We start from the raw sequence: 16,174 nt of genomic DNA on the forward strand, positions 1-16,174 counted from the left end.
CCTTAAGATTATGTCAGCATCATCAGTACTAAAAGGTTGTGGTTCACCCCAATCAAATAGGACTCTTTTGACAGCAATTGCAAGCCTGGGCAATGACTGATTGTTTAACTTCTGCCCTGTGTTGTTCGAAGGGAGCGGGACTGAGATCTAGTTCTTCACCTGCAGCAGTGAGATTTCTTATGTATTTCAATGGGTTATGGCTGGGTGAAGGGAGAAGTTTCTGAAACCTTTCTCACTTTGAAGGGGTGTGTGTGTGTGTTAGACTTCCACTTAGATGAATCAGCCTGGAGCCCTTTCAGGCTTCCATGTTTCTTTTCCACCCCCGTTTTTTCATGCACATTTAAAATTGAGTGATAATTCTGAGCCCCATTTTATTTTATCTTGTTTCCTGATAGTCTTCTACTGCTCATTCCTCAGAGTAAAATCATTAAAGCTCTCTCTAAGAATACAATTATCTTGGGGGGGGTATGACCCATTCAACATTTACCTTATTTACATTTACAATGTTCAATACCTTAGCTATTTGTGATGGGTTAATCAAGCTCTTAACAAGTCTTTGAAATCAGGAGAAAGGAATTTTATGGGTAAATGGCGGTAGTGTAATCAGTGAACATCTGGGGTACAAAGCATGTCAGACAAGGGACCCTTGTGTTGGAACTGTTCTGTATTTTAATTCTGTTTAATTCTATCACACATGTAGATTCGATGAATCTACATGTGTGATAGAATTAAACAGAATTAAATACACACACACTACTGCACTGTAAATACACACAGAATTAAATACACACACACACACACACACACACAACTGTAAAACTTGTGAAATCTGAACAAGGTGGATTGTATTGTCAATATCCTAGTTAGGATATTCTACTGCAGTTATTCAAGATGTTACCGTTGGGGAAAACTGGGTACATTGGACAAAACTATGTACACATAATCTCTGTTATTTCTTACAACTGCATGTGACTCTAAAATAATCTCAGAATTCAAAGTTCAAAAAAGAATTGCTGCAGAGAGGACAAGACTGGTGGATGTCAGAATGCAGAGTCCCGGGTTTTCAGTGAAAAGATTGTGGGAGCCCAGAGAAGAGGACAGAACCCAAATCTAAGGGGAAGAGTGGCATGGAAGGGAAGATGAGGAATGCTCCTAGGGAAAACTTCATTTTCCTCCTGTCTTTAAATTATACTGAGGAGAATATAGTCTATCACCAAGTCATAATTCCTAGAACAATCATCCATCAGATGTGAAAGCAATAATAGTACTAGATGACACTTACTGAGTGCTGCCAGCTGCTGGTTTCTTTACATGAGTTATCTTGTTTGATCCTCTGATGTCCTATGGGGTAGGTACTATTATTATATCCATTTTTATAGATGAGAAAATCAAGGCACAGAGAATCAAGAAACATAACTGGCAACTGGCAAAGCCAGGATTTACCTGATATGCTCAGCAGTGCAGCATCAACACTATTGGGTGCTCACCATGTGCTAGGTATACTTCCCTAAATGCTTTCTCTTTATGCTGAAGAAAGTGGCCTATCATATCTGGAAAATTCTCTGTCAGATACTGGCGTCAAATTACATTTGTTTGTTGTGTGCTTAAGTGTCAGGCACTTTACGTAAGTCATCCCATTGCATCCTCACAGCAAGTCTGGATGTATTATCTCCACCTCATTGATGAGAAAGCCAGGCCTAGAGAAGTTGGCTGTCTTCAAAATCACACGACCAACATGTGCGGAACAGCAAAGGCGCTCAGCCGTGAACTCCAGAGCTCTGAGCGCTGTGGCCTCCAACTCAGAAACCACAACCTCAAAGTCATTTAATTTTCCCCAAAGCTAGAGGCTCCTAGTATTCACTGACCAGGCATGAATCTATTTTATTTATCCTGGTATGCAAAGGATAGACATTTAGCATACTCATTTTATCTAGTATAACTTGGGAACTTTCTTTGCTATGTGAATCTATTAGCCACTCAAGGCATGGACAAGCTCTTTTTAGTTTCACGGTTCAATACACAACAGCAGCACACACAACACGATGTTTAATAAGCCTTCTTTAATGATGATGGTCATGACTTTTTGCTTTGAAGGTTTGCAAGAAGTGATGAACATCTCTAACATAAGTGATCTCCTCCTTCCGTTTCTCTCACCTTCGTGTCATTCCAGAGCACCTAGTAGGGGACTGGGGATTTAAATGGTTTTCTATCTATCAGTCCCTCTGAGTGAAGTGGACACATTCTGTGCTACATCATCGCCCTGTAATCACAAAGACTGGACACACGAAACCATGAGGAACTTGTCAGGGGAATTTCTTGCAGGCTGATGGGGTGAACCAAATAAATTCACAGCATCTCAGCCGCAGGCTCGGGGTTACAATGCGGATTCCTCCTGGGCGGCGGGCCCCAGTAGGCTTTCACTTTTCTGCAAGGGCGCACGCCCACTCCGAGCGAACTCCACGTCCTGGTTTTCGTCCTCGCCTCCTTCCCGCCGGCAGCCGGCTGCCTGTAAACACGCGGGGGTTCGCAGAAAGAGGCGGCTGCTATTGGAGGAGCCCATCCAGGCCTCCCCTACGCCTAGCTCCGGAGCTGTCAGTTACTCGAACAGTGCAACGAGATTTTGGCGCCACAGCTGGGAGTGAGGCTTTTGTTCCATAACAAAAACAAGCGCCTGAGTGGCAAGGCTGCCAGCGCCCAGCCCAGCCGAGCAGGCATAAAGGAGCCCGCGTCGCGGATGTTTGTGACCTGTCATTAGAGACAGCTCCCTCAGCTTCCAAACGATCACATGGAGACAATGTGGCAAATTATATTTGTACCAGCAAAGATCCTTGTCGAGCCGCGAAGGTGAATACTGTGCACCAGGATCTAGTAAGGGGGCCTGCTTGCTCAGGTGGAAAAACACCAACGAGTCATTTCCAGCGCTTTTTGTCTCCTCTGTCAAAGAACTTCTGTTTTCCCTCTGCAGCTGAAAGGCAACCTTCTGGTTGAAACAAGTTAAATGATGAATCCAAGAGGAAAAACTAGGTGTTAAGATGTCATAATGTAGTTCTCCCGATATGGTGGTCCCCCGTTATGAGTACATAGAGATGGAGTCTGCTATATTATTTGTTTGATGTTTGCACATATGATGCTAAATTAGAACACATCCAGACCCAGGTTACTCCCTACTATGGAAAAATTCATGTGAAAACCAAAATTCAAAAGTCAGATAGATGGGGTGAGTGTTCTCATGTCAGAGTCTTTGAGTTTCAAAGCATTCAGAAGACTTGAAAGTCCTCCTCCAAATCAGTAGAGTTGATATCCAAAGTGCCACAACTGAGAATTTATTTATTCAGATTTAGTCTGGTTAGAATGGAAGTACCTTTGAAATGATGAGGTTAAAAGATAGTCATTTACATCTTAGTGTGAATTTGTTTAATTATTTTTCTTTTGACAGTAGGTTTTCAGGAAGGAGACTAGTTACAACTGAGTTCCTGAAAGGAGACAAATGAACAAAATGGGTGGAAATGAATGCAGAAACACAGTCTAGGTGTCCCAGAAGCCCTGTTTGTTGCTTCACAATTCTGGGGGAATCCAGCTTTTTAAAGAGAGTTTGTTTTGTTTTGTTTTTGCAATAATAGAACTTTCTGCAGTTATGGACGTGTTCTATATCTGTACTAATATGGGAACCACTAGGCACATGTGGTTATTGAGGACTTGAAATGTGCCTGGTGTGACTGAGAAATTGAATTTTTGATTCAATTGGATTTAAATAGTCACATGTGACTAATGGTTCCCATATTGGGCAACACAGCTTTAGAGCATTTTAAAAGGTGTCCACAAATCTTCAGGAAAAAAAATTGCATAGTGTGGTGGGCAGCGTCAAAGATGGCCCACAATAGTCCCCACCTCCTGGTATTTATGCCCCTGAGTAGGATTCCCTCCTTTTGAGCATGGGCTACAACTAGCAATTTGTTTTTAGCAATAGAACGTGCCCAAAGTGATGGGATGTCACCTCCAAGATTAGGTTACAAAGAGACTCCAGCTCCATCTGGAATATCTTCTTTGGCTCTCTCACTTGTTTGCTCTCAGGGAAGCCAGCTGCCATGTCATCAGCCGCCCTGTGGAGTGGCCCTGCTGGCAAGGAACTGATGTCTTTAGCCAACAGCCAGCAAGGATCTGAGGCCCTCAGACCAAAAACCATCAAAGAACTAAATGCTGCCAACAACCACGGGAGGGAGCTGAGAAGTGGATTCTCCACCAGTCCCAGCCTAGAGATGACTGCAGCCCTGGCTGACACCTTGATTGCAGCTTTGTGAACCAGAGACACCCAGGTAAGCTATGCCTGAATTGTAGACCCACAGAAAATGTGAGCTAAGAGAAGTGTGTTGTTTGAAATCACTGAGTTTTGGGGTAGTTTGTTACAGAGCAAAAATTTTGGTATGGTTAGGCTCATTTAAAAGACATTTATACTAGTTAGGGTATCCCCAGGTCCAGAGAAACCTCCAAACATCAGTGTCTAATGCAATAAAAGTTCTGTTCTTTTAACAGTGCCATGTGGGAATTCTGATGGTGGTATGAGACCCAGCCCTTTTTCCTTCAGGTTGTCCTAGGAGTCATTTCCATTCCAGCCAGCTGGAAGGGGAGACAAGCAGAGTGGCTCCCATGGGGAACAGACTTCGGGATGATGCACACCATTTCTGCCCATGTTCTACTGGCCTCGCTTAAATGACCACCCCAGCCTGTAAGGCAGACTGGGAAATATAGTCCAACTGTGTGCCCAGAATGAAGCCAAAGCAGATTTAAGGATCAATCAGCCTGTAGGTTTTGCCAAAGCACAATATTTTTTGAGGTGGGTAAGCCCCTTGACAAGAACAGGCCTTCATGGCTTGCCAAACCCTGGGATCATGCGGACAATAATCTCTTAATAAATAATGGTAGGCTGGGTGCTGTGGCTCACGCCTGTAATCCCAGCACTTTGGGAGGCTGAGATGGGTGGATCCCGAGGTCAGGAGTTCAAGACCAGTCTGGGCAAGATGGTGAACCCCTGTCTCCACTAAAAATACGAAAATTAGCCGGGCACAGTGGCAGACGCCTGTAATCCTAGCTACTTGGGAGGCTGAGGCAGGAGAATTACTTGAAGCGGGAGGTGGCAGTTGCAGTGAGCTAAGATCGAGCCACTGCACTCCAGCCTGGGTGACAGAGTGAGACTCTGTCTCAAAATAATAATAGTAATAATAATAATAGTAGTAATAGTGATGACAGAACTGGAAAGAGACTATTATCCCCATTTCGAGATGTGAACTCACCAAAATTGTCAGATTATTCTAGTGCCATAAATTCCCATGACTCAACCAAAAGTCAATCAAAGTAAAGTTGTGTGAAGAGAGTTATGGCACAGTTCTGGAAATGACAATGGAAAAATCAGGAAAAGATTTTTCTTTTCTGTCACCCCCCACAAAAAAACTGTGGACACATTAGCAGTCTCTTCTCATTCCTGCCTCTATCCTCTGAAACCCAAAACAACCTCTAATTTACTTTCTATCTCTGTGCATATTCAAATGAGCATGTTCTAAACTACAGAGTGTGATTGGCGTGGAGTTCCACGAGCTGAGGCATCCCTTAGATGTGATTGCAAAGGTATCTGTAACATCTGTTGCTTTGGAGGCGGACTGATATTCTGGCAGCTGCCCCCAATGTCACTGTCAGTCTTAGGGTTTATAGTGAAAGGGGAAAAAAAGAAAAGATTGGTTTTGTTGATTTCAGTTGTTTTAAATTGAGGAACTCATGTGTCAATATATTTTTGCTCCTATATCAATACATTTCTGAAATGTGACTCCTCCCTTTTATCACCCTGGTCACCTTCCACCCACCTCCCTTAATGTTAACTTGTGAGCTTGTTCTCACCCAGTAAAGATAGGAATGTTAACTGAGTATATGTCTGTCAACATGTCTATTAGTCCGTCTTCACGCTGCTGATAAAGACATACCCGAGACTGGGGAATTTATAAAGAAAAAGAGGGTTAATGGATTCACAGTTCCACATGGCTGGGGAAGCCTCACAATCATGATGGAAGGCAAAAGACATGTCTTACGTGGTGGCAGATAGGAGAGAATGTGCAGGGGACCTCCCCTTTATAAAGCTATAAGATCTCATGAGACTTATTCACTATCATGAGAACAGCATGGGAAAAACCCACCCCCATGATTCAGTTACCTCCCACCGGGTGCCTCCCATGACACATGGGAATTCTGGGAGCTACAATTCAAGATGAGATTTGGGTGGGGACACAGCCAAACCATATCAACATGACTTAAAAAAAAGTTTTGGCACCCTGAAGTAAACAACCAAAACAAAAAAGAGAAAAGAAAGGATGAAAGAAAAGAAGAATGCTTGGCACAAATCCAAAGGCAGGTGTCTAAGGAGCTAATGTCACTCAAGCTTCAGGGCTCCTCCCTTGTAGGGGTCCTGTCCTAGGCTGAGTGCTGCCCTGCAGAGAGAAGCAGCAGCAGCAGCTCTCATATGTGATGAAGGCAGGAGTACTCCCCAAGGAGGGGGCCCCGCTATATTTCTACTTTTTAACTGCTTTATTGAGATGTAATACAAATAACATAGGATGTCCCCTTTTAAGCTCTGCAATTCAGTGTTCTTTTTACAGTATATTCACAGAGTTGTTAGTAGATTTTCATTACTGTAAACCCCCACAAAAAAACTGTGGACCCATTAGCAATGTCTTCTCATTCCTGCCCCTAAACCCCTGAAAACCAGACAATCTCTAATTTACTTTCCGTCTCTATAGATTTGCCCATTCTGGACATGTTTTTGTTTTTCTTTCTTTCTTTTTTTGAAACAGAGTCTTGCTCTGTTACCCAGGCTGGAGTAAAGTGGCATGATCACGGCTCACGACAGCCTTGACTTCATGGGCTCAAGTGATCCCCCAACCTCAGCCTCCTAAGTAACTGGGACTACAGGCATGCGCGACCATGCCCAGCTAATTTTTTGTAATTTTAGTAGAGACAGGGCTTCCCCACGTGGCCCTACACTAGTCTCAAACTCCTGGGCTCAGGCAGTCTGCCCACCTTGGCCTCCCAAAGTGCTGGGATTACAAGCGTTAGCCACCTCTTCCCTTCATGGACATTTCATATAAGTGGAGTCATATAATACACGGTTTTCTGTGACTGGTTTCTTTCACATAACATGATGTTTTCAAGGTTCACCCATGTTGCAGCATGTATCAGAGCTTTATTTATTTTTATTGCCAAATAAAAATACATGGTATGGACATAGCACGTTTTGTTTATCCAGTCATCAACTGATGGGCATTTAGGTTGGTTTTATATTCATTTTGTCTATAGTATTTGTCTATATGATATTATATTCATATTTTGTCTATACCCTGCCAGTGGTCCCAGGATTGTGAGTGGGGTTGGCAGACTGCCAGCAATACCTTCATATTTGTCTGCCCCGCTGTGATAACTTGCGTTTGGCAGCTGCCAGGGAGCACTTGGACCCTATCTTTTATCCCTGGAAGAGTATCTGAAACTGAGGCTGCTCTGCACCCTGTGCAGGGTCCATTAGGACCATGTTTCTAGGCATCTTGCTCCCTAACCCCAGGACCAGACCAGCAAGGGCAGAATATGGGGAAGAGGAAGAGGTGCAAGAGCCTGGCCAATGCTTACTAGCTGCCAGGGTATTCGTTGCCAGTGCCATGCCAACTATGATCAAAGAGCTGGAGTTTTCTGAAGTCTTGCTTGAGCAAGAAGCCTTGCCTGAGCAGGAAACTTGAGGAGTTGTAAAAGTGAGATTGCTCACCAACTGTAAGGAATTTTTCTAAACTATTCATAATTTTTTCAAAAAAATGTGGTCGGCTGGGCACGGTGGCTCACACCTGTAATCCCAGCACTTTGGGAGGCCGACGTGGGTGGATCACAAGGTCTGGAGATTGAGACCATCCTGGCTAACACGGTGAAACCCCATCTCTACTAAAAATACAAAATTAGCTGGGCATGGTGGCAGGCGCCTGTAGTCCCAGCTACTCAGGAGGCTGAGGCAGGAGAATGGCATGAACCCGAGAGGCGGAGCTGGCAATGAGCCGAGATTGCGCCACTGCACTCCAGCCTAGGTGACAGAGCAAGATTCCTTCTCAAAAAAAAAAAAAAGTGGTCAACCATGATAAAGGAAAAATTGGATTATCTTTCTACTTTTTCAATGAAAAATTATATTACAAAATTGTTGTCATAGCAAGAGGCAATAAGAAAGAATACAGAGAGGAGTGATTTCAGTGAAAATGGTGGAGTAAGGCACTCTAATATTTTACCCCTCCATAAAAGCAAATAAAAAAACTGGCAAAAATGATCAGAAGCAACTTTTTTCAACTCTGGAAATTAACTAGAGGCTTGCAGCCACCAGGCAGTGTTTATTCAAGGAAAGCACTGAATCTCAGTAAGCTTTGTGGCATTTTAACTTTCTCTTGGACCACACCTCACACCCAGCTCAGAGATGCCTGTAAAAGGAATAGCCGGCATTCCTGGTATTGGAGTGACTATTAGAATAAAACTCATTTAAAAAGAATTGTAATTATTTTCCCTTTAAAAACATATGTGAAGGCTCCATGGAAGACTGCTCAAAAGGCTTGTCTTTATTTCACTTGACCTGGAACTCACCCAGTCCAAAAGCTATGTGGGGGTAGTGGGAGCATTTGTCAAAAGCATTTACAGGCAAATGTTTTAGTGTCTGCTGCCTGAGGTGATAAATAGTTGCTATAAACCAAAAAGTTAGGAAGAAAAGGCTGGGAAATGTTATGTTCATGAAGGCTTTGAAAAGTACATGCATATTCCTGGGAATCTAGAAGCCATGCCTGCCCAGGAAAAACCTATCAAGACCCTAAGCTCTGACTTCTGGATGACCTTGAAGCTTTGCACAAGAAGGAAGTGAAGGCTAAGGCAGAATTGTAAACTGCCTGGCTAAGCATTAAAGGCAGGCCCCAACACACAGAGTCTCTAAGCAAACACTGTAATATTTTTGGTCTCAGGCATTGAGGAAATCTCCGTCCAATTATTGTTCTAACAGAACAGAGACTTCTATGGTCAAACATGACAAAGAATACAGACTTTACAGAATTAGTTTATAAAAATCATTCAACAAACAAATGAAAATGAAATGAACAGCAGCAACAATAAACCCTGGGGAGAGGAGAGAATTTATTTTCCAGAGTTTCCACATAATACTCAAAACATCCAGGTTGCAACAAAAAAATTATGAGCTATACAAAGAAACAAAAAATGTATGGCTCAAACACAGGAAAAAAATTAATAGAAACTATCTCTGAGGAGGCCTAGGCATTGGACTTACTAGAATACACTTTAAATTAGTTACCTGAAATATGTTTAAAAAGCTAAAGGAAACAATATCTGAAGAACTAAAAGTATCAGAATAATGTGTAACCAAGTAAAAATACTAATTAAAAAGCCAGGTGTGGTGGCACATGCCTATAATCCCAGCACTTTAGGAGGCCGAGGTGGGCAGATTGCTTGATCTGAGGAGTTCGATATCAGCCTGGGCAACATCATGAAGCTAAAAATAGAAAAAATAGCTGGGTGTGACGGTGCGAGCCTGTAGTCCCAGCTACTTGGGAGACTGAGGTGGGAGGATTGCTTAAGCCTGGGAGATTGAGGCTGCAGTAAGCTGAAGTCATGCCACTACACCCCAACCTGGGTGACAGAGTGAGACTCTGTCTAATAAACGAATGAATGAATGAATGAATGAATGAATAAATAAATAAAAAGATAGAAATTTTATTTTTAAGATAACCAAATAGACATTCTGGCACTCAAAAGTACAGTAACTGAAATAAAAAAAAAAATCACTAGGGGACTATCCCATCGAGATTTAAACATGATTCCAATCATAGATTTAAACAGGTAGCAGAGAAGAATCAGCAACTTGAAGATAGATCAATTGAGATTATCCACTCTGAGGAACAAAAGAAAAATGAATAAAGCAAAAAATTAATAGAAACCTTAGAGACCTGTGAGATATTGTCATACACATAATGGTAGTCCTGGAAGGAGAGGAGAGGGGAGGAGAGAGAGAAAGAGAGAGAGAGAGAGTATTTTTAAAAATAATGGCAGGAAACTAAAATTTGATGAAAAATGTTATCTATACGTCCAAGAAGCTAAATGAACTGTAAGTGGGATAAACTAAGAAGATCCATAGAGAGATACACCATAACCGAAGACAAAGACAAAGAACCTTGAAAACAGCAAGTGGAAAACAACTCAACTCTATAAGATTCAAGAAGGAATCCTCAATAAGATTAATTACTGATATCTCATTAAAAATCCCGGAGGTTAGAAGACACTGGAATGATGTATTCAAAGGACTCAAAGTAAGAAAAAGTCAGTGAAGAATTCTGTATCTGGCAAAAGTATCCTTCAAAAATAAAAATAAATGAAGACATTCCCAGATGAACAAAAACTGTTTGTTGCTAATAGACTGACCTTCCAACAAGTGCTAAAGAAAGTATTTCTGGCTGAAATAAAAGACCACTAGATGGTAACTAAAAGCCATATGAAGAAATAGAGATCTCTGGTAAAGATAACTATATAAGGAAATATAAAATATGTTTAATTTTTTTGTAACACTTTTTTCACCCTATTCTGATTTAACTGTATAAAGCAATGTTTATAAATCTATGTTGATAGACACACAATGTATATGAATACAATTTGTAACAATAACAGCATAGCATGGGGGTGGGTGGGGAGAATGGGGCTATGGAGAAACAAAGATTTGGTATACTGAAATTAAGTTGGTATTAATCTTAGCTAAATTGTTATAAATTAAGAGATTAATTATAATTGCCAGGGCAGCCACTAGGAAAATAACTCAAAATATAGTAAAAGAAATGACAAAGGAATTTAAATGGCACAGTAGAAAATACCTACTTAACATAAAAGAAGGCAGTAATGGAGGAATTAAGGAAGAATTAAGCAGAGATTGGTAAGATATATGAAAAAACATGATCCAACTCTATGATGTCTATAAGAGACTCATTTTAGATTTAGAGACACAAATTTGTTGAAAACAAAAGACTGAAAAAGATATTTCATACAAAACATAACCAAAAGAGAGCTGGAGTAGCTACATTAGTATCAGACAAAATAGATTTTAGTGCAAAAATGCTACTAGAGACAAAGAAGACACCATATAATAATAAAAGGCTCAGTCCCTCAAGAAGATATAACAATTATAAACCTGCATACACCTAAAAATAGAGCCCCAAAACACCAAAACAAAAACTAACATAACTGAAGGAAGAAATAGCCAATTCAATGATAACTGTAGGAGATTTCTATATCCAATTTTCAATAATGGATAGAGCAAACAGACAGAAGATCAGTAAGGAAACAGAAGACTTGATAGTGTCAAAGGACACTATCGAGAAATTAAAGAAATAACCTACATAATGGGAGAAAATATTTGCAAATAATATACCTGATAAGGGTTTAATATCCAATATACATAAAGCTCTCTTACAACCCAATAACAAAAAGGCAAGTACTTCAATTTAAAGATGGGCAAAGGATTGAAAGGCTATTTCTCAAATATACATATACACATGTATATACACACACACACAAGTGGCAAACCAGTACATATAAAGATGCCCTTCCTTATTAGTTTTAGGAAAATGTAAATCAAAATGACATGAGATGACACTTCACACCTAATAATGAAAAAAAAAAAAAAGGAAAACAAGTGTTGGTAGGATTTGGGGACATTGGAAATCTTGTACATTCACATAAAAATATAAAGTGGTGTAGCTGCTTTTGAAAACAGTTTGGCAATTCCTCAAAAATTAAACATTAAATTATCATATGACCCAACAATTCCTCTCCTAGACATATACACCAAATGATTGAAATCAGGTACTCCAAAAATCTATGTGTACACACATGTTCACAGTAGCACTGTTCATAATAGTCAAAGGGCAGAAAAACCCCAAATGTCCATCAACAGATGAATGGATAAACAAAGTGTGGTATATTCATACAATGGAATATTATTTAGCCATAAAAAGCACTGAGGTACCAATACATGCTACAATGTGTATGAACCTCAAAAACATTACACAAAGTGAAGAGTAACACAGAAGGTAACATCTTGTATGATTCAATTGGTGTGAAATATCTAGACTAGGTAAATCCATAGAAATAGAGAGTAGATTGGTGGTTACCAGGTGCTGGGAAGGAAGACATTGAGAATAACTGCTTAATAGGTATTGGGTTTCCTTTTGGGGTGATAAGGATGTTCTGGAACTTGATAGAGGTGGTGGTTGCACAACATTGAGAGCATACTAAATGAATTGTTCACTTTAAATGAATACTTTTATATTATGTGAATTTCACATCAAATGTTTTCTATAAAGGATAAAGTACTGTTACAAGTGACAACATAAATGAACCTTGAAAACATGCTGAGTGAAAAAAGCCAGACACAAAGGGACACATATTACATGATACCATTTATATGAAATGTCCAGAACAGGCAAATCCATAGAAATAGAAAATAGATTAGTAGTTACAGGGAATGGGGGAGGGGAGAAGTGGGACTGACAGCTGATAGGGACAGAATTTCTTTTAGGATGATGGAAATGTTTTGCAATTAAATAGTAGTTGCATGACATAAAAACCATGGAACCATGGAACTGTACATTTTGAAATGGTGGACTTTGTATTATATGACTTTTATCTCAATTTACAAAAAGTATACAGAGAAAAGATGTAGGGAAAGTATATTTTACAGATATGTCAGGCAGTTAGTTAATAAAGTTATCATAAAATTACAACATTTCCAATATTTGTATTATTTTTCAGCTTTTCATTGTTTGTAATTTGTTGTGATTTCTTCTCTTACTCTAATGTATATTCACTTTTGTACCTATTTTGTATTTTTTTTCTAAGAGGGCTCTCAGATTGATTGCTTCAGGTCCCACAAAACTGGGATGCCACCCTCGCATTACTAGGTACAGAAACTCAGCTACCCAAGGTGCTACTAGATTAAGGAATTCTGTCACCAAGCAGGCTGTGCACTGCTTCAGGAAGGCCCCCTCTCAACTCCTCCTTACAATTCCCTGCCGTATCCCACCAGTCCTCAAGCCTCCTCTGAGATGTACCTCCCTTCTCTTCCCACTTCTCCCATCGCCACCACCTTCATTCAGGTTATTATTGGCCACCTAGACTCTGGCAATCATCCGACTGCTCTACAATTTCACAAAACACTACTTCCAATCACCCTCCAACTGCTACCTGGGAAGATCTTGCTGAAATGCATATTCTCTCTCTCTTCTTACCTCTGCTGGGAAGCCTTCCAAGGCTCTCATTGCCTGTAGGATTAAAAACAAACACATCCCGTCCCGTCTGTCTAGACCCATCTCATAGCTTTCCTTCCCTGATGTGCATCCCCACATCAATAATGCCTAACTCCTCCCCTTCCCCAGAACTTCAAGTATTTTATGTCTCCTGGTATCTTTTGTACAGTTCTTCTGTCATTTAGTATGAAATATCTCCTCTTCTTCTTGGAAAATTCTTTATCTGCCTATGTCTAGCTCAAGTGTGGCCTCTGGGAAGGTTTCCCAACTCCCTCTACAGTCCTTACACTTTACATTGTAGTCATTCGTACAGATATTTTTGTATCTTATACATTAATGTATATGTCTGCAAATCAACTAAAATAATCTGAACTATTTCTGTGGTTGTATATGAGTATATTAAAAAACATATTGCTAGGTGTCCTACAAAAGGACACATGTTCATGTGTTGGAAACTTAGTTGCCATTGTAACAGTACTGAGACATGGGGTCTTTAAAGATGATTAGGCCATGAGGGCTTTGTTCTCATGAATGAGATTAATGCCATTATTGCAGAAGTGGGTTGGTTACCTTGGGGAGTGATAAAGGGATAAAGATAAAAGAATAAGTTTGGACCCTGTTTACTCTCTGTCTTGCACACTTTTGCCCTCTTTCTTCCTTGCCATGTGATGCCCTTCTGCCATGTTATGACACAGCAAGAGGGCCCTCACCAGATGGCCAAGCAGATGCCAGCACCATGCCCTTGGACTTCCCAGCCTCCAGAATCATGAGCCAAATAAATCTCTTTTCTTTGTAAATTACCAAATCTGTGATATTCTGTTATAGCAACAGAAAATGGACTTAAACACATATATATGAATATATGTATATATATGAATATGTATGAATATATAAAATCATATATAGGAACATATGCATATATATGAATTTATGAATATATATGAATCTATATAAAACATATATATGTTTTTGATTTATTTCCTAAAGAGCTATAAACATATCCAAGGCAGAGATGGTGTCACATCTATTTTAAAAATGTTTTCCTCAGCAGTTGCTATATTTTCTGTACTCAGTAGGCACTTACCCATGTGCCAGGGACTCATACAGTGGAGGAAATACTTTTTGAATAAAATTGAATTAAATATTCTTTTCCTTAAGGACTTTAGGCACTGAATAAAGAAACTAGCGCATGAACACAATTAGGAATATTAATATTATAAATAAATATCAAGTAGTAAGCTGCAAACCAATTAAATGAGCACTGATGACCTAGACAGTAGAGTGGATTACATCATCATCATCATCATCATCGTCGTCGTTACAACTGTGTAAAGTTAATCAAAGGAAAACTTTCTGAAGCAGAGAGGTAGTAAACAGATAAAGCTGAAGGGTTTTGGTTCAGGGTAAGGAGAGAAAGTGGTTCTTCCTGGGAGTAAAGAGCTTGAAGACTAACAGGGGAGAGAATTTAAAGATCTTCCTGGGAATATGGGAAATTCTTTGATCCCAGTGGGAGGCACTTGGGTATTTTAGTGTTTTCTTTGGACATACTATCTTTTTGTACTGAGATGAAAAGAGATTTAGTAATGTAAGAATTTTTACTACTTTGGCAAAAATTCCCCAAAAGTCACAAATCTCGTTTTGTGAGGGACAGGGAGATGGGGACTCAGGTATGCTGAGCCAATTCATAGAGCCAAATTAAAGGAAGGCATGGAAAGTACACCTTGTTTTCCCCTCTTCCTTATTCTTTCTCACTTTCAGATGGAGCAATATGAGGGCTTCGCAGAAGCAGCAGGCTCTGCTCTTCCAGGGACCCGCTGGTGGACTAGGAGAAGGGAGTAGATGCTTTGTTGGGCTAGAATTCCAAGAAGACCATGAATAAAACAAGTCACACTCTATTTCTGTGTGAGGCAGGAAGAGAAGGAAATCACCGCTTTTTTGGCATGCCGATGGAAAGGGGATTTAAATTTCCTTGGGGAAGCATGTGCTTATTTAATTATGTAATTGTAAATTTATTATAGTGTTTTATAGTTTTCTCCCTCCCTAATCCCTCCCTCCCTCCCTCCCTCCCTCCCTTCCTTCCTTCCTCTTTTCTTTCTTTCTTTCCAGAAGGCTTGGTTTGGTGCCTCTCCCCTTCCCATCTTTCTCCTCATGTCCCAAAGCCTGTTGTACCCAGTGTTCTGAGTACCACAGAGACCACCAGGAGGGCTAGACCCAGCCTTGGATGAGAATAATGACATGCCTGGAGCAGGAGATGCTCATTAACCCAAAAGAACAAATTACTGATGGGAGAACTAAAATAATAAGATGAGCCAAGGCAGTCTCAAACCACGACATAATCAGCACCTTTAATATTGTATTTCTTTCTTCCTTCAACAAACCATTATATGTATGCTGTGTGTTTGGCACTGTGCTAAGCATTTGAGCGACATTGCTGGTAACTACAAAGAAGACATTTTTGAGCAGACAGACAATGAATGGATCATATCAGTAATTGTGAAGTTACCACTGTGTGTTACAAGAGAGCTGTTGGAGCTGGAGTGCTGGTGGGTACCGCTCTTCTAGGTGAAGGAGACATCACACGCCAAGGTCCTGTAGCCACGAGACATGGCAGGTTGGAGAGACTAAAAGGTGACCAGTATGGTCATTACCAGATTTTACTTTTTAAAAAACCACTCTGACTGCTCTATAGATAGGAGCCAAAGTAGGAGGGAATTCTTCAGCGGGACACAGGGTAGGTCATGAAACCTGAAGTCTGAAAGCACAGCTATGTCTCAGGAAAGCCTGGAATCTGGCCCCAGAGAGCCTCTCTTTCTCCATAATTT

This window comes from Homo sapiens, chromosome 8 (assembly GCF_000001405.40).
Source record: "Homo sapiens chromosome 8, GRCh38.p14 Primary Assembly".
Taxonomy (NCBI): domain Eukaryota; kingdom Metazoa; phylum Chordata; class Mammalia; order Primates; family Hominidae; genus Homo; species Homo sapiens.